The sequence below is a fragment of the Homo sapiens genome, chromosome 2 (genome assembly GCF_000001405.40).
Source record: "Homo sapiens chromosome 2, GRCh38.p14 Primary Assembly".
Taxonomy (NCBI): Eukaryota; Metazoa; Chordata; class Mammalia; order Primates; family Hominidae; genus Homo; species Homo sapiens.
In genome coordinates this window covers 155,890,220-155,917,375 of record NC_000002.12, presented here as the reverse complement: position 1 = coordinate 155,917,375, position 27,156 = coordinate 155,890,220, and the positions used below count along the sequence as shown (strand labels likewise).

At 34.3% G+C, this 27,156-nt stretch overlaps 1 long non-coding RNA gene across 5 annotated transcripts in view; it reads left to right on the top strand.

Annotated features, from left to right (window-relative positions):
- The first annotated feature begins 3,062 nt into the window (after positions 1 to 3,062).
- LOC105373703 (uncharacterized) overlaps positions 3,063 to 27,156 on the top strand; it is a 158,249-nt gene continuing 134,155 nt past the window's right edge. For 3 of the 5 annotated variants that reach the window (XR_001739749.2, XR_001739751.2, XR_001739750.2), the window contains exons 1-4: positions 3,063 to 3,416; positions 4,232 to 4,351; positions 5,127 to 5,200; positions 10,928 to 11,016. This is a non-coding gene — a long non-coding RNA (uncharacterized LOC105373703). The remainder of the gene's footprint in view (positions 3,417 to 4,231; positions 4,352 to 5,126; positions 5,201 to 10,927; positions 11,017 to 27,156) is intronic. The other 2 variants (XR_007088689.1, XR_923501.3) reach the window with 1 other exon arrangement.

The window sequence follows — 27,156 nt, the reverse complement described above, 5'->3', positions numbered from 1 at the left end:
TAAATTCCATACTTTCAAAGTCACAATGCATATGTTACATGCCTATAATTATGCTCCTCCGGGTGTGCACGCCAAGAAGGTGGCAGAGTCAGACACAGAAAAAGAAAGGAGATTGATGATATGGTATTTTGCTAATACAATGCAAAGGCACTAACTGATTATGAGCCTCATTCTTGCCTTTCCTACTTCTACGTACCCTCTACATTACATTTTCAAACTGATGCCTTCACTGATCCGTCATTTACAGAAAATGCCTTCATTATGAAGAAGCCCTCCTGAAAAAAATTGGAAAAAAAACCAATACTTCCAATATTATAATTCAAACTTCTTTGGTTTAAGGATAAAGAAACTCCCCCAGCACTCCACCACCACCGTACACGCACACTCATTTATTAGATTTGATATACATATGCTTAAGTATTCATTTCCTCTTTTCTAAATTTGGGGCCATTTTAGGAAGGAAAACTGTTTTGTTGATATCAAGATAATGCACTGGTGTCCTATAAAAAGTCATGCCAAAGGAAGACAGAATTTTTTAGGAGAGTATTACAAATTTTACAACTTTATAGTTACAATTTGTGTATACTGTCATTTTAAGAAAAGTGATGTTGCGGCTTTTCTTAGGATTCCCAACAGGTTGCTAGACATTTTCTTACTCCTAAGTATTGGGTGACCTCAAACAGACTGAACATTTATAGGGAATACAATCAGGGTAAACAAATTTTTTATTAAATCATGCATCCTAATTCCTTTATTATGTTAGTGCCATGATGTTTAATGTCCACCTCCTTTGGGTCAACTCAACTATAGATTCTATTATCTCTGAACTATTAACAGAATCCTATTCGATTTCAAAGTTGTAAATACATACACCTCTGCTTTTTTCTCCCCTAAAAAGTACGTTATTCCATTGACACAAAGATTTAGTGTCACAGTGTACCTAGTCAAAAAGAGAAGAAATAAATATTGCTTTAAATTTTTGAGGACAGGGCTGGTGCTACCTTTCTATGCCATATAACGTATGAGTTTGGTTTTCAGTTTTTTTTTGTTTTTTTTGTTTTTTTTTTGAGATGGAGTCTCGCTCTCTCGCCCAGGCTGGAGTACAGTGCAATGATCTTGGCTCACTGCAACTTCCCTCTCCCGGGTTCAAGCAATTCTCCTGTCTCAGCCTCCCGAGTATCTGGGACTACAGGTGCACACCACCATGCCTGGGTAATTTTTTCTGTTTTAGGAGAGACGGGTTTTGCCGTGTTGCCCAGGCTGGTCTCGAACTCCTGAGCTCCGGCAATCTGCCCGCCTCGGCCTCCCAAAGTGCTAGGATTACAGGCATGAGCCACCGTGCCCAGCCTGGTTTTCAGTTTTAATTACCAACCTTATTTGGCCATTTCAGCTGAAGTTTTACATAAACCTATATTGTACTTTTGATGAGATGATGATGAAATAGAAAGTTGCACACATAAAAAAGTGGACTGATGTTTGATATGTCTGAAAGAGGGTAACAAATTAAAAATATAGAAACTTGATACTTCTTATTAGAAAAAAGGGATTATTTTGAATAGTTTTGTTAGTGCTGTTTGTTTAGTTTGTTTGCTTTGCCTGGAATCCTGTGTTTTTCGATATATACAGTTTGACCGTGGAAACTTCAAAGCTCTGCTCTTTATATTCTGAATAATACAATCAACTCATCTAGCTACAACTTTTTAGGTAGCTTTTTTCTTTAACAAATGTTCTTTTGGCCTAGAATTTTAAAAATAAATTAAAAAGATTCAGATTATTAATTAGCAGTAATAAGTGATTATTTTTAGGATGAAATAGCTAGATCTGGCCCCTTATAGGGAGTAGTGGCTACTGTTGTCTTTTATATGAAGACTTATATTAATGTAAGTGAATGAGTTTGTGTGAGTGTTATTTATGATCTTTGTGCTGTGTTTGTACAGTGAAGTCAGTGAGACCCATAGAGACCACTAGGGTGCTGTTAATGTATGTGGTCTATTGCATACCTTTGAGAGCTAAATCATGGGGCTCATTTTTGAGACTAATTATTATAGGGAGCTTTTTATCATATCATGTATGCATTTTAAAACTTTAAGAATATTGCTCAACCATACCATAATGGACAGCAATTATCATATTTTCAAATATTAATAATGAAATTAAAATTAGGGAATTATTGCAAATATCAAAGTCACTTTTTTAGTGATTGTTCAATATTCACTATATCTAATAATCATTATTATGTAATACAAATATTAGAGAATTACAAATATTAGTAATAATATATTAAGAATATTTTTAGTTATCCCATAATTTTCTAGAAAGTATTAAGCAGTCTTTGTTCATTAAACACATTTTCATGAAGCTAAATACATTCATAAATTGGTTATCTTTTGCTAATAGCTTCCTTAAGAAAGGTTTGCTAAAAATTCTTCCAAAGTGAAAAATAACATAGGTTAATATGAATATAGAAAACCTTCCAGTCTGAAAATGTTCTTAAATTAAAAAATAATCATTTTAACTTTTTGTTTTTCCTGAAGCCACCAAGTCATGTAATATGTATATATATAAATAATTGTTTATTCTTCTAAGCACTAATTATAAATTTTTCTACTAGTTAACAATTACTGAATCCACAAATATGTTTCCTATACATGACAAATTGTAGGTATTATAGATGTAAAAACAAAAATATAATACTTTCTACTTTAATGAAAAGATAGAAACAAAAAAAGAAATGTAAACCCACTTGTTATTTAAAATGATTATTAGTTTAATGAGAGCATTTCAGAAAGCAGTAGGAGGATAAAATTACTAAGAATGGAGAAATTCATTCAAGTTGTTATAGTTCTGTATATAGTTGCATCAATTTTCTCAAAATCATTTTGTATTTGTTACTATGTTTATAGAAATACCTAAGCAACTAGTGACAAGTAACTATTGTATTTTAACAGAGATTAAAATAAATAATGTTACAATATGGACTCCCATTGTACACTGAGGAACTCAGAACAATGAAGTAACATTTTCTGCAGAGTAGGGGACTGTGAAAGACTAAAATGGATGTTTAGGATAGGGTGCAAAGGTTGCTGTTATGGGCTAAATTGTATCTCTCAAAATTCATATGTTGAAACCCTTACCTCCTGTATTTCAGAATATGACTGCATTTGGAAATAGGGACTTTAAAGAGGTGATTAAGTTACAATGAGGCCACTAGAGAAGACAATTATCCATTTGGACTGATGTGCTTAGAAGAAGAGCATATTGGTAAAAAGAGACACCAGAGGTACAACAGCACAGAGAAAGACCATGTGAGGACATAGTGAGAAGATGGCCATCCCATCTGCAAGCCAAGGACAGAGGCCTCAGGAGAAACCAACCCTGATGACACCTTGATCTTGGACTTCACAGCCTCCAGAACTGTAAGAAATAAATTTCTGTTGTTTAAGCCACTCTGCCTATAATACTTTGTTATGGCAGCCCTAGCAAACTAATACAGATGTTTACAGTCTTTGCCCCAAGAGCAGTTTGACACAAAAATGGACAGGCAGAGCAATCACGAAATATCATAGAATAGCTTTCCCAAGTGTGTTTCTGGTCATTGTTGCACCAATGGCTCTAAGGTGTAGAAGGCTTGTTTTTATACATACATATATTGAAACAGATGAGATGACTAAAATTGGTCTCTGTGCCTCTAGAAAGCAAAGTTGATTCTTAGTTCTTTTATTGTTTTTTTTTCTTTTTTTTTAGATAGCAGACATTTCTTTGCACCCAGCTAATCTTGCAGTAACTTGGGAGATAAATTTTTGCCATGATTCAGAGTTGAGTGACTAGATTCTTGGTTTAGTAAATTCACCAGAAAAGCATGCACATGTTTGAGAAATTTTCCTCTGATTTTATGGATTTCATGTGTACATCTTTGAAGAAAAAGTGAAGTGTGTTAATATACTTCCTGTTCACAAACTATATGGTTTTATTTGACAAGTATTGCCAATGGCATGAGCAAATTGTATTGTTCTTCATTGTGCGATCAGAAAATTCTCATTCCTGAATCTTTCATTATTAAAATATTTACCTTCAAATTTACACCTAGATGTTATATACCTATTCTTACTCTATATCTCCACCACCATTGTGTTTTACAACTATTTCCTCTTAACATTTCTTGGTTTTCCAATTTCTCTACAAGTAGGTTTCCTAGTGAATAAGCTTATTTCTGCAATTTTTGATCTAACAGAACATACTCAAGTGTCTCAGCTCAACATTTGGAGATGAGCCATCCTCCTCTTATTGTAAGAAAAGCTTGAAGGAGTATTTTCACAGCGATGGAACTGGAAGTTAAGGCAACTTCTATCAGGTAAAATGGCAAATCACTGTTATTTTCCTGAATCTGCATACAAGCAAAGCCTGTGTACTTGCAAAGCCATAATGTCACTAGAGATGATCATTAGTAAATTGTGTTTACTTGCATCTTAATATGTGATTTTCCACATATTTAGTCGTTTTAGGGCTCTGTGAAACAGTATGCCATTTGACCTTCTTTGATGTTCAGGTTCTTGAATTCCAAACACTTGATTTACAAAGTTCAATTTCTAATGCATGTTTATCATTCTGAATGTTTCTTGTGGGATTAAAAAATTCAGAGAAACAAGAATATCCAGGAACACATTTCTGGCTACTAATATTGCTGCTGATCTTATTCTTTTTTGTAATGTACTATCATCAATGTTTTAGATGAACAACTATATATAGCACAACAATTTCTATATAATGTAATTATTGTAAAAATTTGATTAGAAAACATGGGAACTTCCTGGTCAATATTTATCTAAAATGCTGAAATTTAAAACACCAAAACATGTAAATGGTATTTCAAAGTAAAAAATTAATGGAGATCAGCAATACATCAGCTTTATTTTGGCTATTGATTTGGTCTTCTATTTTTTGCTTTGTGATTTAGGGGAGCAATGTTATCTCCATAAAATGAGGCTGTCCTTTTCATTAAGTAATTGTAAAGCGAACACCGCATATTTAAATAGAAACAGTGTTGCTAATATGGAATTGTTAAATTTTTAATTATTGCACTATCTACTAGAATAAATATATAAAAAACCTTTTTTTTTACTTCCTAGCATCAAGAAAAGAAAAGAAGTATTCACCACTTACGAAACAACATCTCTCTTCTCATCAATAGTTTGATTTACAGGTACATGTTTTGCTTTAGAAGTTTTTATTTTTTATAAATGTAATGTGTATTCTTAAGGTGTAACATTAAGAACTTTGTTTTGTTGTTAGAGATTTTAGCAAAAGTAAAAATAATATTAAAACTTTTCAAAAATCTTAGCTATAACAGACTTTAGATGAGAACAGAGTTTAAAAGCTGATGCTCTGATACTGTTTTCTACATTAAATAGACAATTCTGGGGCTCTTCAAATGTAGTATTTGTGGAATGTCTTCTTTTGAGGAATTCCAAATTCCTATCAAGTTTGATTTTACATACTAAGTATGATTTTCCACATGAAGTTACATCTTTTTATTCCAAGAATATACTGTATATGTGGAAAATAGACGAGGTGAAATATTGCATGTTAAAATTGCATGGCAGAGTCATAGAAAGTTGCCAAACAACTAAATTGCTTTGTCTTTTGAATCTTTCAACTAAAGAGTGTGCACCAACATTCTTGGAAGTGATATTAAATAATTACAAACCAAATAAAACAAAAGCCAAAGACAAAGTCTTTAACTTTTTCTTTTTTCACTCATCATTTTCATGCATAAACTAGCACTGTATTTATTATAATAAAATATAATAACCTTTTCTTTATTTTTTGATAAAAATGTAAGACTACATAACTTTTGTAACTATACAGCCATCATTAGTTATTATACTCCTAATGAAGAAAAAATAGTAAATAGAGGGGTATTTAAAAAATAAAAAAATAAAAAAAAATACCAAACACTTTGCTTACCAAAAAGTGTCTGCACCTCAGAAATGTGATAAGAATTTGGAAAAAAAACCCACAAAGTTTTTCTTTGTAAATGTCATGTAAGACTGTAAAATTTAGAATTTGGTTTTATGCAATTTCTTTAGTTTTACCTTTTAATTTTTAATTATAAAAGCAAATATCTCCTTACTGTTTTAAAAAAAAATCAGCCCAGAAATACATGTAGCATGTCACGAAATTATCCCTCTCGTTCCCACCATTAGGATCCCTGGAGAGACCCATGATTAAACATTGATGTGCATTATGCTAGACATTCTCATCTTATATAACCAAATTAAAAATTTTAAAAACTGGATCATTCTTTGCATACTTTTTTACTGCTTGCATTTGGAACATTTAACCACATATAATGCATATTTATTCATGCTGCTATATGAAAAGAAGAGTTATCTCATTCTTTGAGATTATCTAACAACATTTTACGATATAAGTGTATTTCATATATTGAACCAATTCCTGTTAGGTGGATATTTAGGTTTTTTCCAATTTCGTTTCATTTTCTAGAGGAATATTTGTAAAAGATATTCTTTACTTAAGCTAGAGTATTGGTTATTTAGACAAAACATGAATCTCCTAGGGAATTCTGACTGACAAGAATTTTTAAAAATTGAGCTCTAAATGTCATATTTTAAAATATCAGTCAGCAACTGTATAGTATATTGGAAAGGACTATAGGTTTATAGCCAAGAGAATTGGGTCTTTTTGATCCCTGACACTTATTAATTATATAATATTGTGCAAACTATCTAAATTCTCTGGGCCTTGTTTTCCCATCTACAAAATGATGAGTATGACGTAGATGGTCTTTAAAGGGTCTAAAAACTCTAAATAAAAGACTCTATACTGCAATTATACAAAAAAAAAAAACAAAAAAAAAACACAACAACTATGGACTCATCACTGGCTAGGAAGGATGAGTATTCCAGAGAAAAGAAGCAGTCACCAGCTATTTTAGGTTGCTCACTATGTGGTAGAAAAAACTGATGGAAATCATGGTATTGGGTTTGAAAAATTGAAAGGATTTATACCCCTTGCTGTGCTTGTATTTTAGCCACGCCTTGCTCTATACTCTATTGTATAGGTAAGCGTGGGCAAACCCAGACTCGACATTCCTGTCAGGGTTGCATTATACTCTGACACAGTAGTTTAATTCAATAATGGGTAGAGACGTTTCTAATCCTTGTTCAGTCTTGATCAGGTTTCCTCAGAGCCCTCCTTGTTTGGATAGACTCTTGATGTTAGAATAGAATTAAGACAGACTACCTAGAGTGTAGTGCACCAGAGAGCAGCTTCTAGAGATTCTATCCCTCAGAGGATGCAGTGAGTTGATGCTGCCTCTTAAATGGTTTGCTGTCAGTCCATGGCTGAGATCAGATTCAAAGACCTAGTATTACTCCCGATTCTTCTCCTGGTTTGCTAGATGATTTGTTATTGGCTCTGAATCGTTAAATAATTGACAAATAAGATTATTTTCTAAAATAGTAATGTGGGAAAAAGTGATTCTAATCATTTTGTTCTTTTGTTTGATTAAAATTTAAATGGTCTTCTTCTGAGGAGTCTTTTGGTCATACATATCAGACACAACACTAGGGTCTCTTTGTCTCTGTAATAACAATACATATGTCAAATATAAAATTTCTCCTGTGAAAGTATGTAAAACATTGGGATACATGTTGCTACAAGGTATTACAGTTATGAATGTTATGTGTATATTTTTTTCTCAAGTAGTTGGAAGTGACTACCTGAAACCAAGATAAGAGGAGAATGGAAAGGTGTTCCCTTGTAGTGACAGATAGGTCATCTACATTAATTGTAAGCACCCAGGGCCCAGGACTATTCTTATTGATGTCCTGGATGGTGTGCAGTTTTATTTGCTTTATGTTGCATTTTTCCACAAAATATATTTCAAAACCAATTTTCTTGATGGCAATTCATACACAGTATATTTAATAATGTCATTAATCGCTCTGTTACTAATTGTTTCATTACCTTTCTCATATTAGCAACTGTGAACACCCAACGTTATTTATCAGGTATGCGAGTGCCCTCTCTCTCCTGGGCGGTGATGCTTACCTAGGAAAAGAAATGAAACCCTTTAACAAGTTTCTTGCCTTTCACCACAACTCTCACTCTCACCTGGGGTGAAGGCCAGCCCTAATTTCTAAAGTAATTGCCATAAACGTGGTTTATATATACCAGGAGCTCATGAAAATAGCTTCAGTGTTGATCTTCACATTAATCCCATTTTTCTACTCTCAGAAAAAAACTAGCATTATCCTTATATAAATAATGTATACAAAGCCATTCAGCCGGGGAATGGGGTGGTGGTGGTGGTCTTGGTGGCCTATTTAAGAACTCTGATAGGCCAAATTACTTATTCTGGTAGAAACTAGAAGATTTTTAATGAGGTTCTTGCATTTGTTTTAATCATTTCTATAATGATTAAACAAATCATACCTTTTAAAATGTGTGAATTTGAATAAATAATTTTACATTTCAATACCAATAATTGTGTGAAAGCTTCACAGGAATTCACTGTCTGGGAAAAACTAAAATGACTAAAGAGTCAGGTGTGCTTTCAATGTTTTGCTATTCACCTCCACACAATGATACCTTTAGGCTACCTTCTTTCTCTTTTTGGTGAGTTTAATATGAATCATCAAAGAAAAATTACAGTTGTTTATAAAACAAATTCATCTCTTGCATTTATATATTGGGTTGGCTAGCAAGCGTTGTTTAAGTTAAAAAAAATACTAATTTTCCAGCATTATCACATTGAATATTATCAGATACCTGCATCTGGATCTAACTAAAAAGCTATATTTTAACTCTTTTGAGAATCTTGATGCTAATGCAGGCACCACTACCAATTCTGGGTCAGACGGAATGAATCCATTTTCTCAGCAAGATTCAAGCCTTCATGCCCCCTGTTAAGACTCATGCTATGAGCAAGGCTGGTACTGTTTATGAAAGATGCAAATTATACTCAACATCTTTTGGATTTTACAATTTATAATGAGGCATGCATCCTCCAAACCCAATTCTTTTCTTTAAAGCCCAGAATTCTGGACACTTCATAAAGCAAAAAGCTTGCTGCCACCTTCAAGGAACTCAAACTATCTGATTTTTTTTATTTGCTGCTGCCATTAGATTGAAATGATTTTTCTTCAGTTTGCTCAAAGCCAGATTTAAAGTCAGGTCCCAGAGGTAACAGGCAAGTCGATCCCCTAAGCTACTCAGTCGTTGTTTGCTTTTTTTACATGTAATATCCTACTACTAAGCCAGAATATAATTTAAAATACAAAACACACTCTACATAAATATGTCCTTTAGTAATTTTGTAATCTGACATTTAATAGAAGTTAACTAAGTGCCTTATATCATATTTGTCAAGGAAAATGGAGAAATTATAAATATCCTTCACGACAATTATTTCTTAATAGCTTTCTACATATTTTTAATGCTACACATTTTCTTACTACTTCAAATCAATAATACTCTGAGCTCCTTGAACATAGACCTGCCAGATTACTCACTTACAATGCACCTAAATAAGCCCAAAAGCATCCTAAACACTTCACACATTATGAGCTTCTGAAAACCATTCAAAGAGCTCAGGTTTACAGTCACTTTCTGTTTGCTAGGGAACAGCAAAGGGTTACTTTAGCCCAGGCGCTGCAAGTGCGAGCAACAGGAATCCATTGGCTTTAATTTGTCCATGTCTTTCATTTGATACTACCAGTATTAATAGCTTTGCAAGGAAATTCTGCAGTCATTAATCATAATAATTAATCAGATCCAATTATATTGCATATAAATGCGAACAAATTGCTGAAAAAATAATGATCTATCACCAACATGTCACAAGGAAAAAGAGACTAAAATAGTAATTAGACACAGGGATTTAGTTGTGTATGAGTGCCCTGCAACTGATTTTAACTGTATGATGATCCGATGATGTAATTAGTCGAAAGTCTAGCAGGCCTTTTTAGCAGACCATCTAATGACTGTGCAACTGGAGAAAATAAGGTCCACTTTTCTAAGAGATCTTTTTGCATTTTCTTCTAGCTTTGCTGTTCTGAATAAAGGAGCTCCATTGCCCTTGGTGTTCTAATACTGGAAACTAAATTGTTCCTTCATGGGTTTTCTGAATTTTTATTGCCTGTTTTTAAAGTAATGCTATCTGTTAACTGATGATTACTCAAGTTAGGAATCAAGATATTCTAAATGGCATTTTTTTTTCCTTTTTACTCTTGTAATCATACAAATGTGTAACATATAATTCAAAATGAAATGTTTTGGTTATAGTAAGTTAACACACTGCGGGTAGCATGCATGTTAGCTATTTTCACCTATCTTCTTTCCCTTGAACTGAACTGAAAACATTTCAGAAAATGGAATTACTCTGTTTTCACTTCAGTTAGCACTCTCTGGAGTACTGGCAGATTTTATCAGAAACCATTTAAAAATATATATATGTGCATGTGTGTGTGTGTGTGTGTGTGTGTGTGTGTATATATGTATATATATTCTTTAACAGATTCTTACATTCTGACCAAAGTGAATTATTTAGTGCAAATTATTCTATGAAATAATCTTAATGTCCCTATTTTCTTTTTAATTTTCACTCTTGTCTCACAAGATAGAGCTTCCACTATAGCGTTATATATATGCATAATTAGCATTAGTTTATTATGTGGTCAAATATGTGTTTTTAAACCTTTCAAAATATTTTCTTGCTCCACTCACAGATTACACATGAAATGGTTAACTAAAGATTGATGAGCAGTTTTTATGATAGGTTTGCGACCTGAAAATAAATGTTAGGTTCATCATAGTTTTCAATACTAAGCACTGCACTTTACCATCTTTGATCTCAGTGTTGTGACTACTACAAAGAAATAAAACCTTATCTTACCTTTTCCAGCATCTACTGCAGAAGACCTCAATAATGCATAAGAACATCTGGAAGTACGGTAATTTCAGCTATCAGAGATAAGAATTGACACAGAACAGGTAAACCCTACAAAGTCGTCATGTTGAAATGAACTGATTAAGGTTTAGTAACATAAAACATCATGTATAGTGTTTCCATGCTTGCTACATCTTGCTATTTTATATTTAAAAAGGAATGTCAATTATATATATTTAATAGGTTGATTAGCTGGTGGCAATATTATATTTTACATAAAGAGACAGAAATGTCTGCAGATATTGCCATACCCATCTATTTAGAGTTAACTGTGAGTTCATAGAAAATACATGGGCATAGTAAACAGGGTTTTGAAATGACAATTTTTTACTGGTTGCAAGTGCTAATTGCTAGTTTCTCAAGGGTATAGAATTAATCACCTGCTAGATTTACAGTCTCTAGGTTGAGACCTGAGGATGGAGGCAATAAGAAAAGCTCTTGAGGGACATATCATATGGTGAGTCTAAATATCAGTCTCTATGCATATGTAAATTGGTAACAAAGTTTTTTCAAAGCTCAAGTATGCTAATTTCAAACAGGCAAGACTAAAGCTAGCTTTTAGCAGCTGTTTAACGTCTGCCTGTGGGTGGTAGAGAGAGCTTAAAATACAACCAAACAGTGGTGCATAAGTAATTAAGCAACATTTTGCTGGGCATAAATAATTCTGTTTATATTGCTCTTTTGAAGAGTATAGAATACAAAATAACAGATCAAGTGTACCTTTGGTCACCAGAGGTTAACTGTTCTTCCTCTTTACCTTTCCTTTGGTTTTATGATTTAAGAGAAATAAATAACAAAGTCTGATATACAATATTTTATAACTTTATAGAAAATAAAATTATTTCAGGTGAGGAAAAAAACCCTGTTATGGAATCACTGTACTATAAAATCAATGTAGTGCAACTATATTGATTTTAGTTTATTCCTCAACAATTTATCAGAAGAAAATGTAATATTTAATTGTGGATCCATTTATTGCCTTCTTAACTTTTAGGATTATTGAAAATAGAGTTTGAGTTGTTTGCCAAAATAGAAAAATCAAACTATTTTCAAATTCCACAAAAGGAAAATATCCTTAATTTTTCAGGACAAATTTTAATTGTCCCATGCATTAAAAATAAAGAGATAAATTAATGATTCACCTGGAGATTATTGTCCAAAAATTAAGACTGCTTAAATCAAGGTACTACATATAAAATAATCACCTAATTTGAACAGCTCTTGCTAAGCCAGTAGAAATGTCTAAAAGCAAAAGAAACGCTGGTATAAAAAAATTGCATTTGATTCAATAAAAACCTTGAAATTGACCAGAAGGAAGATGAAAGATTTAACACGATTTAGAAATACCTAGTCTGGAAAAAGGGATTATAGATACTAACTGTGAAAAGAGTAAGGGGTTTAAACTTTGTTTGCTTTAAATATTCATGGTTTAAGGAGTTAATGGTGAAAGGAAGTACTCAGTTGGGTATCAGATCTTATAAAGGGCTTTATAACACATAAGAATGCTAGGAAGGCAGGAGTGGCCATTTTTGCACAGGATTGCTATTTCCCTTTGCACTGAAGGAACAGGTAAATGAAATAGGATTTGAACAAACTTCCTTTTATTTATTCTCAAAATTCTAAGAAAATATGTAAAATTTGGTGGCGAACAAACACCCTGTTTTTTTCCTGATATTTATAATTTCTCTAAATTCGTATTTTTTAAAAACTTGCTACGGGGCTGGGTTTTAAACCCACATGGCCTGAGTAGAAAAGTGGATAGGGCAGTGGATTATGTGCAGACATGTACAGTCAGGGTTGATCTGTGTTCTTTCTTTGCCTCTTGTTCTTCCTCTTCCTCTTGTGGATATGTAATATACACATATGTAATATGTGGATATTAACACCTGTTCCAGTCTCCCTAACAAACCAAAAAGATGAAATTCAGTTAAGTGATTGCAGAATAATGATTTCTTTGAGATACTATTCTAAACTTTCTCAGGCTCTTGGGACATCTTATTCTGGTTGACTTAGTCAAACAATTCATTCTCTATGTACTGTACCAATGGGAGTAGGCCTCATTACCAATTTCATGGAGGAAGGATAGAACAAGCAGACAAGCAATAGGCTCCCTATACCTATGTGAAAATATTCAGACTTGTTTGAAAAGTTTGACAAAAATGGATGACAAAGACTCACAACTACTCAAAGTAATATAATTGATACTTTTTCTCCTGAATTGCCATTTCCCTGCAAATTGTAATTATTGCCTGTGCATATTCTGCAAAGTGATCTTTTGTGTTAGAGGGGCATTGTCCAAGCCCAATTAGGTGGGAACTTGAATATTATGCATTATTAGGTTAACATAAGTCTTGGTCATGTATGATCACAGAAGAACTTTAAAATTGTTTTAGGAGATTTGAAGTGTTCTGCTTTGCCATACCTCTGCCTTTTCTTTTTTTTTTTTTTAATTCTGGATCTTCACGCTTCTGTGTGTTGCTTAGTACATGTCACTTGTCATCACTTTGAACAACAAACTCTTTGTCTCACCAAGAATGGATAGTTACTAAGAAAGTAACACTGGAAATGGAAATGCTTTAGTTTGGGTTTCCGTGGATATACCATGAAACCTTTGTCCTGTACCTCCTCACTCATTTGTCAGTAGAGGCTACCTGTTTAGGTACTTTACTGTAATTCATAAATAAAAATTTGTTTTTTCTGATTATCTATGAAGACATGAAAGCAGCCAAGTTTAGACTTTTGTTGATCAGATTAGTTTCTCCTTTGTATCTGCGAGACTATTAATGCTTATTTAGGTAGAAAATAGTATAATTTTTTTTGAGAATGGTGAGTCTAATTGATACAGACCTGAAAGATGTGATAAACTATGATCAATTCATCATGTTCTATTCACTAAATTAGGGTAAATATACAAGGTATGTGGAAACAGTCGATAGCCGACTAGGAGACATCCTAAGTAGGAGTCCTTGCTGGACATGGTGGTGTCCACCTGTAGTCCCAGCTAAAAGGGAGTCTGAGGCAAGAGAATCACTTAAACCAAGGAATTCAAGTCCAGCCTGGGCAACACAGCAAGACATCATCTCAAAAACAAAGGAGAAAGTAAGCAGGAGTCTAGGAAAAAAATAATCTGACAGATACTGAAATATAGAGTTTCATCCTAGAGTTTGAATCAAGTGCTAAATAGAAAGGACCTAGCTGATATAATGTATATAGATAGTCAATGTCATATAATTACTGTGAACATTATGGGACCAGAAAAATCCAGAAAAGAATTCTAATCTTAGGATGGAGGCTGATTTTTTTCTATTAACTTTGCTGCTTTTTATAGTGTATTCACAAGTTTGTGTGTATATATACACATACACGCACACACACACACACACACATACACATAGTCAGAGATTTGCAGAGCATCTGCAGATATCTCTTCTCCAATGGTGGGTGAAGCAAAGGGTTCCCATATGTGCACCAAGGCATGGTCTCAGAAAAGTCTGTAATCCATCCCAGTTTGTGCTTAGTGTTTTATCACGAGGAAATGCTGAGATTCACTTATTCATTTATTCACTTAGTCATTGACTGTTTACTTAGGTACTACAATGTGTTGGTCACTGTGAAAGTTTCTACGGATGCAAAGATTTATAAGATACAATAAAACACTAGAGTCAATAAATGTGAAAATACTGTAAAGGTAAATTTGGGGGAATACTCATCATTGGCAGATACCTCACTCCATCTCTGACTTTTTGAGCCAACATTATGATGGATATGAAGAAGTGGGATTACTAACCAATGTGACCCACAATATACATAGAATTCGGAATATCTTTGAATGCAGAATATCTGATTGTAAGCTTTCTCTTTTTAACTACACTGCAAAATTCTGATGACTCATCTTGCCAGGCTCTCTGGAAATAATTGCATGAATATATGCTAATATATATAAATATGTTATATATATAATCTAATAGTGAATATATGTTAGTGAATAGTGAATGATATTTATAGTGTGTGTAAGCCTGTCAGACTGACACCAATGAGTATGGAATACTGATGAGATAATTCCAGGTTCAAGGTATCCCACAAAGCCTGCAGGCCCCTGGGACTTCAGTGAGAAACACTATATATATATGTTTGTGTGTGTGTGTGTGTGTGTGTGTATATATATATATGTGATTATACATATAATCTAATAGTGAACATATGTTTTTATAATCTAATAGTGAATATTAAACAATATGTATATTTCACAATTTGATTATAAAAACTTTGAATATAGGGAGTATACCCATTCTTTTTTTTCTTTCTTTTTTTTTGAAATGGAATTTTGCTCTTGTACTCAGGCTGGAGTGCAATGGCGTGATCTCAGCTGACTGCAACCTCTGCCTCCTGGGTTCAAGTGAGTCTCCTGCCTCAGCCTCTCGAGTAGCTGGGATTACAGGCATGCACCACCACATCCACCTAATTTTTGTATTTTTTAGTAGAGACGGGGCATCACCATGTTGGTCAGGCTGGTCTCGAACTCCTGACCTTAGGTAATCCACCTGCCTCTGGCTTTCAAAGTGCTGGGATTACAGGCATGAGCCACCGTGCCCAGTCAGGAATATATCCATTCTTAAATGGTATCCCATATGCCCATACCCCCTATTTCCAATGGCCATTCAGAAAACATTTGCAGTCTATTGATAAAACTTCCTATTTCAAAATAAAGCTTTGTCTTGTCCTTATCTCAACACATAAACTAACTTACATTGTTCAAACTAAATTAATTGAAATTCCGAACTTTCTCTGTTCCAAAACTGTTGATGTCAAATGAAGGCTGCATAGCTTTCTGCATTCAGAAAGACAATTTCAATTTGTGAATTACTTAGTAACATTTCTCCCTTTTAAATGGAAGCAGCACTCTACTGGTTTGCTCTAAAGATGTGCTACTATGAAAAAGACAACAATTACATATTGTGGAAGACTTTATCTAGGGAAAATTGGTGGGTAATACATTCTGGTGGTGGAGAACAGAGAAATAACCCCCAAACATGAATGTCTAAAAGAGAAGTCATATTTTCTTAAATAAATTAACTTATTTTTCAGCTATTATTCAGACCTTCTTGACAAGCAAGGGAAATTTGTTTTATTAATTTCCTTTGAACATATGTATGCTTCTCTTTATTTTTCTATTTCTGATAGTAGTCAGCATATAGTCTTAACAGGCACTTGGGCCAAACATGATGGTGACATTAGCAAATCATATACTAATGCTCTTACTATGAGAGAAAAAATATTTTTATGCAGTATATTTTTTATATACAATACTATTATGTATATATTGTTGGAGGTAAAGAAACTTTTAAGAAAAAACAAACCTATCATCTAATCTTTCCTACCAACCCAAATCAACAGCTATATAAAGGGTAGGTTTGGAAGAGGGGAAGATGAAATTTTCTCACTGGTGGCCCATGGGCCTGCAGGCTGTGTAGGATACCTTGAACCTGGAATCATTCCATCAGTATTCCATGGCCTTTGGTGTCAGCCTGATAGATGTACACGTGCTATAAAATGCTCACCCTTGTTTTGCTTTCTGAACTGAGATTCTTCTTAAAGGCATCATCAGTCTGTTGACTATACCTCATGTTAAGGGAACATCTAGATAGAACCATTTCAGTGTTTGTGTTTTTCACTTTATTTGTTTGACTTCATAACTTTTTATGCAGATGATTGTACAATGTTGAGATCAATTGTAGCTGAGAAACTTCTCTCATATGGAGTAATTTATATAGCAACCAAAAGGTAGAAGGGAAATAAAACAAAAACATACTTGGTAATTTAATGAATTTAAAAACTAGCCCTGGGGGAAAATGCATCACTTTATATTTTGTATCACTGCTGTGTTTAAGAAACCTAAAAATGGAAATTTCATATTCTCATATTTTGACAAGTACTTTACATTTGCTTGAATAAATATTTTACTGTGAAAGGAATATGATTAAAAAGAAAAGAACCCCCACACTATTAACTTCTCAGGAACATTAAAGCAGTAAAAGTACACATTCCATAAGCCAAGGGATGCAGCAGCATTCAGTTAGCTCCAACTTATCCTGGAAAGAGATTTTCTTTCTTATTTTTAAGGTGCAAGGAACCCTGCACTTACAGAAAGGAGAGGTGTGCTTCAACTGTCATATTGATGTGGTAGAATTTAGCTCTTTTCTGAAGAGTTTTCATATCCCAAGAGCATAAAGACAATAGCACACTATATAGAGAGCCAATAAATCAATTAGCTTTAACAGCCAGAGTTCAGGAAATGCATTTATTCTCTTCGATGAAAACACGGCTTCTCCTTGTAGCTATACTTCAAACTGTTAAGGTCAATTTTTCACATGGAAATTATATTTAGTGGCTGAAAAAATCACTGAAATTTCATAAAGCAAAAGAGAAGCACTTACTAATGTAGGAGAACAAGTTTGTTTTATTTGTAATTATCTATCTTTAGAGTAATTGAGATTCTAAACAGCAGCTAATAGCCTCACTGTCTCAAATTACTACTGCCTGTAACTTTACCTTGCCAAATATCAAAGAGCTTTTCAATTGCAACACTACTACTAAAATCTGGGTCATTTTCTAGCAATTAATTGGAAGAGGTGATTAATAGCTTAATAATGGGTTGCTCTGTGTTTAAAAAGTGCAGGGGATGTGCATAGGAAAGGAATATGTAATTTTGTATCCCTGAAACATAACCTAATTGAAAAATCAGCAGTTGGTCTTATTTACTTTAGGCTTGTATTTCCAAACCCTCTTTTGATCTACTCTGAGAAAATGTGTAAATCTGGAGAGTATTTTTTAATTAACTCCTTGAACATTGAACATGCTATGAATTTAAGGAGCACAAGCTATTCCATGGCACCTGCTGTGCTGCAGTCAACTTCACAGGAATTTGAGGGTAATACGTGTCAAGTATCTATCTGGATGTGCAGATGGTAGTGCCCATTCAGCAAGTCACCCACTACAGGACCACCGGTGGATTCATATGGCCATTTGCCGATAGCATAGCCTAAGTAATGTGGTTCCTGGGAGCCTATGTCCACTTCTACAATGGATTCTTGTTATATTCACCCCGGACTTAGTGACTGTAAAATCTACCTTCAACCTTTCATAATATTCTCCCAGAAACCTCCATTAAGACAGTCAGTGCAATTCAGCAAGTTCACCACTCTCAATGTTTAGCCAGTTTACAAGGAAATGGCAAGTTGACTAGTTAGACAAGTAATTTAATAGAGAGGTAGGTCTCATAATAAGGTAAGGGATGCAACTAGCAAATAGAAAGGGACCAGGACTCATTTGTCCAAACTATTACAACATTGGGTTTATCCATGGCCAGATGTTTGGGTAGGGGCACACTGATTTTGTTTTAAATTGTCTATTGCAATTGCTATCAATGTACATGTGTTTCTCTTTTATGTTGCTAGAAGATAGTCAAGATTAAAGCTCTTGGTTTCCCATAATTTCTTTCACATTGTGCATTCCTGCTTCTCATTTCAGTCCAATTGTATCCCAGTTGAACCTAGAAATACTGGACTATTTGTCCCCCATTGTATTTGCACAATGACTTAATGTTAGTGGAAATCAGGATTTTAGTAACTTCCTGGCACTAATTCCGTGGAACCAAACATAAATTGGGAATGAAAGGACATAGGAAATAAAGACAACTACCTGGAAGGGAGCTCCACATACCCAGCTCTCATACACCCAGGTATGCAATCTTGAAATTATTTATTCTACCAAAGGCAAGGCATCAAATGAAGACTCAACTGGTCATAGAATTTTTTTTTCAATTCTTTTCACATTTTTTGGATAATATATAAAGATAAAGTGAAATTATGAAAATTAAACCAAAAAGGACTTGGTCTTCCTCTGCTAAAAGGCACACAGTTCACCAATTTTAATAAACTGGAATGAAGATAGAACAGTTTGCTAGTGGTGGGGAAAGCCAGTCAGCTGAAAACCAAGACAAGAGTGGCTTTATGAGATTATTATAAGCTCCCAAACAGGAGCTCACTTATGCTCAGAAGTTAAAGGCTAGAGAAGGCCTAGATAAATGGAAATTCATCAGTGTGAAGGGGGCTGGCCTGTACCTCTGAAATTCCTGCTGGGCAGGTAGCCTAAAGTTCTAATCATCCTCCAGCTCAGAGCAAAAAGCTCTGATTCCAAGATGTGATGGAGGCAGACCAACTCAGCGGGAGTAGTTCTTTTCTTGCATAGCTTTTGATAATTTTCCTTAAAAAAAATTTCATTTTTTTTTTTTGAGACAGGGTCTTACCCTGCCACCCAGGCAGGAATGCAGTGGTGTGATCACAGCCAATTGCAGCCTTGACCTCCCAAGCTCAAGCTCAAGCTCAAGCAATCCTCTGCCTCAGTTTTTGATTTTTTTGTTTTTGTAGAGATGAGGTCTTACTATGTTGCCCAGGCTGGTCTCAAACTCCTGGGCTCAAGCCATCCTCACACCTCAACCTCCCAAAGTGTTGGGATTACAGGTATGCACCACTGGGCCCTACATGTTGTTATTTTTAATTTGCTTAATTTCTTTGTACTCACAGCTAAATCTCCCCATGACTGTCAAATATTTAGTACAATTTTCTATGCCTTCATATTTTTGAATTTGTCAACTTTATTTCTCAGTTCTTTCTTTCTCAGAAGGCCCCATCTCAAATCTGGTTTGATGGTTTTCAATCTAGGCCTGCTAATAGCTAATACTTGTCTTCTGGAATTACCTTTATTTCTCTCTTGCTTTACTTCTTTAGTTTTGTGGAGTAAATTTTCTAATAAGCTTTCTGAGAAAGAGTTCTTGGAAAGTAAGTTGTTTGATGCTTTCTCCATCTTAAATATCTGTCCCCTAACCATACTTATTCCATTGTTTGCTAGCTCCCGGTGTTTCTTCAAAGAAGTCGCATATCTCTCTGATTCTTGATCCCTTGTATATTAACCTCTTTAAAGGACAGTGTTTTGTTTTTCTCTTGGGAAGCAGTTAGAATCTAATTTTAATATGTGACATTTTGAAATTTTATGATTTTGTACTTTGGCATGAATCTTTGTCATTCTTCATACTGGGTACATATCTGAAATATATATATTTTTTAATTCAGGAACAATTCCTTACGTATTTTTTTTAAAAATAATTTCCCTCTCACCATCTGTGTTTTCTACTAGTCAGATGTTAGAGCTTTGGATTTGATCCTCTAATTGTTTTACCTTTTCTCATCCAACTTATCATGCTTTTTTTTTTCTTTCTAAGATATTTCCTTGAGCTTATATTCTAACTCTAATATTGATTTTTAATTTTAAAAATATTTTTGAAATGTACGGCCCATGTCTTGTTCTCTAATTTTTTCAATGGCATTCTATCTTTATATTGTATGAATGCAATATTGTCTATTTTCTTAACCTACTGATGACATTATATTTTCCACAATTCTATTATCTTTATTTTTATTTCCTATTTATTTTGATGTTTCCTTTTTTTCAAGATCTTTTGTTCAGATCTTCTTGCAAATATCTGATGGTTGTTGGTTATGCTGACTGAAAACTTACTTTGCAAAGGGAAGACTGCCAATTGACCATTTTGCTAGAGGGTGCACAGCCTGCTGGCCAGCTTGCTTTTTTTCAGGGTATGTAAGGTAATACAAGCTTAGCTGTATACACTGAAAGTGGGATGAGAAGAAGGTTGTTGAACTTACCCTTATGTGTGGGAACTTTTATTTAGTCCACTGTTTACATGGTGGTGGCATTCTCCCATCATCTCCTGTGCTTGAATCCCAGAATTTCTTTGTTTTGTTTTTGTTTCATTTTGTTTTTCCTCCAGAGATTAAAATTCCCAGAATGGGAAAGATGGAGAAAATACAGTGGTTTCTCTATAGGTGGGGTCTGGAATATTTTTTACCTAACTTGTTTATTTCCAGTCAGATATTTTGCCCTGTAAATTGCTCTAGTTTTACATATCTTTCTTTTCTTCTAATGTTGATACATTTGTGATGTCTTACTTTTTTCTTTTTTCTTTTTTTTGAAAAGTGGCAAAGGGAAGGGTCTTTAGTTTTTCACTGAAATCAGGGTAAACTAGGCACGATAGTAAGGTTATTTTCACATATCTTTATAACAATTTTAGTTAAGAATGATCATCTTTTACAGATTAAATAATTTAAAGCTTAGAGAACTTTCTTACATTGCACAAGGTTTTACAGCAAATCAATGGCAGAATCCGTGTTTGTGTCCACATTTCAAAGACTCTAGTGCACATTTTTTTAAAACACTCTGCTGGATGCCTCCACAACACAGGAATATTTTTAAACGGGTTCAAAGCTGATTCTAGCAGGTAAAGATTTCATGGGCTATTGAGTTAGCTAGACTAGAAATCAAAATAATTTTCTTTTGGCAAGATACTGTTTTTCCCTTCCTTTAACTTAGGCCTCCATTCTCCGTATTAAAACCTATTTTCAAAATTTTAACTTACACTAGGTTATAAATTGTTGACAAAAACTTTAAAAACTTTCCCTCTCAGGGGTATTTGAAGGTTAATTTAAGAATATGTTTGATGAAGCTCCAACAATATTTCAGGAGGTAGAAGAAGACATAGTTTAGACACAACTAAATTTCTGAAATAACTATATAGACACTTATCTATTTTCTACCTATAAAGCAGGTTATCAATGTTGAGGAAAAATTGAATTATCAGATAATAGCCCTTCACAGTTGGGGGAGAGGGTGGAAGAGAAAGATCTTCTTGGGATCCTGGCAGGATAGGCTAGCTTTTAAGATTTCGCTCTTTGGGGCTGGGCCTGGGATGGGCAGAATATTTCATCTGAAATATCTAGGAGAGGGGAGAGTCAGAGTATGATGAAAAGTAAGTGGGGAGAACAGTAAATAGATTAGATAGGAGAGAGTATGGTGTATTCAGAGGTTAAAATCAGATTAAGGACATTCTTATATTGAACTTTATTGTATAACCAATGGAAAGTAAATGGTAATTTTTGCATCTGGAACTTACATATGCAGACCTATGTTTCAAGGGATTTAATCTGGTACAGATAGCTTCCTTATCTTTCTCTGCTGTTAAAATAGTTTAATTTGACGAGAATATAAATAGAATTGAAAGAACAAACTCTTGAGTCACTATAGATAGGATGACTATGATTCATTGTCTAACTTGTAAGAGTGAAAGGGAGGTACTGGGGCAAAAGGATAAACAGAGAATTCCAAAGGCTCATTGGAATGTATAGCTATCCTCCCTATGGGCAAATTGGGGAAAGGAGGTAGGACAGAGTATATGAAACCCTGTCTGAATAACTGCAGGAAGAGTAGGGAAAAAGGAAGAGTAATTAATCATTATAATACAATATTTGGTTTGCCAATTCCATATTAATTTTTAATGGACCAAGATATAACATTTATTTTTATGTGGATCTTTCTAGTTTTTAAAGATCCTACCAAAAAAAAATCAGTGAGTGCTCTTGTGAACCCATATGTTCAGGGATATTAAATAGCAACATGTTTGATTATTTTAAAATTTTGCTTTAATTTGGTTGGAGAAATATATTCAATTTAGCTCTTCTAGTAATCTGGGCAACCACAGTCCTTGTCTTTTGTGTTCTAAGTGCTCTAAGTACATGTTAAATGATTATTTAGTGATATGGAAAACCATAAAAACTCTGTGAGACACAACTATAGTGCTTGGTTTGAAGAATGATTTAGCCATTTGAGAGACAAACTGCATTCAAAATATTTTCCTCTCATTTGAGCAGGGCCAACTTATCCATTAGGCACTGTAAGCACAGCAGTTGAGCCTCCCTTCTTTTAGAGGCCTATGAAAAGATTTTAATTTATTTTAAAATCTGAAGGGAAAGCAAGAAACTTTTAGATAAAGAAAAAATTTTTAATATGTAATGACATTCATTTTATGTCAGTTAATATGGTCAGAAAATATATTTTTGATAATTTTTATTGAGAAAGGGGCCCACAAAAATAGAATTGCTCAGCACCTACAAAAGTCACTGGGTCCACGTAAACTATGAAGAATCTATTTCTTAGTATACTGCTGGAATAATCTTTTTGTTATTGTTGTTCATACATTAGGTTTCATTTTAATGTGAGTATCTAAAACAAGGTAACATGTTTTCTTTTTGAGCTGAAAAATCTCTAAAGCTAATCATTCTCTTTCATGAAGCAACCTTATGTGTTTTGTGGAGACAGGTTTCTTTCATTTCCTTAAATCTTTTCGCCAATAGTGGTGAAGGCCTTCCTGGGGACCACTGAGGGCTTTCCTTGGGGAAAGGTTGAGAAGATGCCTGAGGCTGGAAGCATGGGGCAAACCAATAAGCTGGAAGCAGGGAGAGAGAATGGGACATTTGGTGGTAGCGGGTCTGAAAATCAACTAGGTGGGATGCAGCTTCACATGGCTGACATGTATTCAATTTAGGACCTGTCCCAGATGGCTGTTACAGAACGCTACATTGCCCATGGCTGTGTGAAGCAAGTGGATGCTCTTCCTTCCCACATCCAAGCTTTTGCTAGTGTTAGTGAAAGCCACTAACACTTGTTAGCCACTAACTTTGTTAGTTAGTTACAAAGTTAGCCACAAAGCCACTAACTTTGTTAGATGTTAGTGAAAGCCAACATCACACACATGGAATAAAGCTAAACACATGCCCCCATTACATTAACATTTTAATGAGAACTACAGTCTTCCTAACACATACACATGTTGTACTTACTATTTTACCTGTAACCACTTATAACATTATTAATACAAATAGTGATACCAGTGAAAAAATAACTTAAAACAATAATAGTTAATGTACTTTGGGTCACACACTATTCACATATATTTTCCTGAATTCTTGTTAGAATTATTTGAAAGTTGTTGGAATGTCTACTATATACCAGACTGTTCTAAACTCTGGAAAGATAGTAGAGAATAGATAGGTGAAGTTTCTACTTTGATAGAGTTAACATTCTACTGCAATAGTAATTAAAAAAAACAAAAAGATAAATATCAGATGGTGATAATTTCTTTAATTTTCCATTTGAAATCATCATATGAATTTTAATCACAGCAAATGTGTTTTAATGGTAGTCATAAAATCAACATTACCACGTATACAAGAGACAAGACACCAGTTTGGCATACAAAAATACTACATATTAAAATTGGGTTCATTGTCAAAAGTCAAGGCTAGACAAGATTGTGATGCTTTTAATGAAGAAAATTATAAAAGAATAATGAGATAGAGAATGTTGGTGGCTATATTCGATTGACTAGTCTAGCATTTAATTTAAAATATAATGTTCAAAAAATAGAAAATATCCAATGCAGCTACAGCATAGTAAAAAATGGAGGGGGGCAATAAAAGAGGACATCAGAAAGGTGCATGGGGTCAGATTGCATGGAACACTGTAACTAAATAAAGTCAAAGACCATGATTTTGCCAAACAGTTCTCTGGTTAACCTTGGACCAACCAAGTCCTCCCTCCTTTCTTACTTGTAATTATCAAAAACAAAACAAAACAAAAAACTAAAAACTTTAGAATTTGATGGGAATGCAAATTTCTGAGATAAAGGAGGATTGACTGTAATAGCCTAGGCTCTGTTGCAGTCCCTTGTAACAACAGGATGTCCTGCAGTGCTTTAGTGCAGTGAGTCTTGTGACACCAGAGTATAAAATCCAGGGCAGGCTGCTTTCCAGGGTCCCTCAGCTGTGATGCAAGTGGGGAACAAGCAGTTGAGACTCCATCCACCCTGGAGAAGCTTTCCTGAGACTTTGAGGACCATCCAGCAATTAATTCTATGGTGCTCTTGTCCCTTGCTGCCTATCTGCAAGTGAAAAAACCCTCTTCTTGTAACTTATGTGTATAAGTGTTATTTCTCAGCAAACTCAGATAAGTAACCAGTGCACGTTGAACCTGCTTCACCAACTCAATTCTTGGAGTAATGGGAATTCATTAGAGAATTCTCATATTTAGCAAGAGAAGAACATGAACTTACGTATTTGGCTTGAAAAGCTGGGCAGATGGTGGTCATCTTGCCAGAGTGTAGAAAGCTCAGGAAAGAGCAATTTGGGCAAGAAAAAACTAAAAAATGTGTTTTAGTTACTTACCATACAAAATTTGTTCTGCCGTTCAAGAAGCAGAATGAACTAAGTAGTTAGATAATGAGTTTTGAGTTTAGAAAGATACAGACAGAGCCTTGCAGTTGGAATTTAGAACTGTGGGACTGGATGAGGTCACCGAGGTGGACGATACAAAAGAGAAAGAGATACAAGACTGAGTTTTCAGGTCTTCAAAATTTAGAAGTTAAGCCAAGTAGGAAAATCCAGCAAATGATACCACAAAATGGCCATCAGTGAAACAGAAAGAAGACTAAGAATGTAGAAACACTGAGACCAAGAAAAGAAAATATTTTCAGAAAGGTAGAGAGACTACTTATCAAGTACTGATAAGGGTTTAAATTAGATAAGAATAGAGACTGGACCATTGGATTTTAAAATGTGGTTACTTTAACAAGAGCAGTTTTAGTGATGCTGTGAGAATGATAGTATGTTTGGATTAGATCGAGATTAGAGTAGAAGGATGTGGAGAAGGTAAATATATACCATTATTTCAATAAATTTTGAGATGAAAGAGACAGTCCAAAGGGAAGTAGGCTAGAAAGATAGTATGGTTGGATTAGATTGAGATTAGAGTAGAGGATGTGGAGAAGGTAAATATGTATCATTATTTCAATAAATTTTGAGATGAAAGAGACAGCCCAAAGGGAAGTAGACTAGAAAGAAAATTGTTTTCCTTCCTTCCCTTCTCCATCCTATCTCTTCTTTCCTCCCCTCCTTTTCTTTTCTTCCTTTCTTCTTTCCTTCCTTCCCTCCTTCTTTTTAAAAGATAGGATTTAGCATGTTTGTATGCTGATTCAGATAGAATTGAAAGGAGGGAGAATCTATGATTTAGGAGCTATAATGGAGAAGCAAAGTTCTTACTAATGCAGTGGGTGAAAAGAAGGAAAAATCCACGGGGTAAGTTGAAGACTCCTCCGTTGACAGGCAGTAGGATGCTTCACTCCTACTGATAGGTGGAACAGTGGAGTCTGTGATGTTGACTGGTTGGACATTTTGGTTGCAAAACAATAAAGAATTCCTGGTGCTGTAGACATTGGAGAAAGAAAATAGCATTTGAAGAGAATTACTAACTAGACAGTTAGGAAAGACAGAAACAAGTATTAAAAACAAATCAAGTAAGAAAAATAGGATATTCTTTTACTTGATCATTTTTAAAATGGATTTTTGGAGTCTTAACTTGTAAGTTTCTAAAATGATAACTTGTTTGAATAATGATAATTATGCAGCAGATTACCTTATCTTATTTTGTGATTATGGATAAATCGCATTTTTTGGTTCAAATGTCACATGTAAATGTGTTCTATTTAAAACATCTAAAACCTTGATATAAATTTTGTCAATTTTTTGTTTTAGGTTATTTAATGCAAATTAAGTATCAACTTCAGGGAGTAGTACCTTTCTGCTAGTTCCCCCCAAACTCTTACCCCCCAAAAAACTATCATAGAGTTCAGTTATTTTTGTATTATTTGGGAGAAACAACATGCAAGACAGGCAATCACATTTTTTACCAATTATTGCACCATCTAAAGGAGATTTATCTGGTTATGATTAGCCTCATGTTGAGGGAAAATCTAAATTTAGTTTCTTAACCCATATCTTGCTCCGATGGCATCACCTTACTGTGTTTTTATGTCACAGCTGGTTCACTCAAGGAAGGACAATTGCCTCAGTGCAGCTAGTCTATAGGCTGTCTGGTAGAATGGCCTGGGAGGTAATTTTGCATGAATGTTCTGTTACTAGATAGTCAAAACACAGATGAGGATTATTTAGGCCAGCTCACATATTCTATCTGGAAACATTTTGCTGAATAGATAGGGAGAAAGGGGGAATTATTTTGTTAGCAATAATAGAGTTGAGTAAGCTGAAGTAACAAGTAAGCAGAGGCTATGAGGGAGTAAATATGTGTAAGTGGAAGACAAAAGATATAGAGCATTAGAATGTGAGATAGCTGGATTGGTGGTGGCTAGATCAGAAGTGGAGGAATTGATAACAAAGAGAGATTGACATTGTTCTTCTGTTGAAGCAGGGGTAGGCTAACTAGCT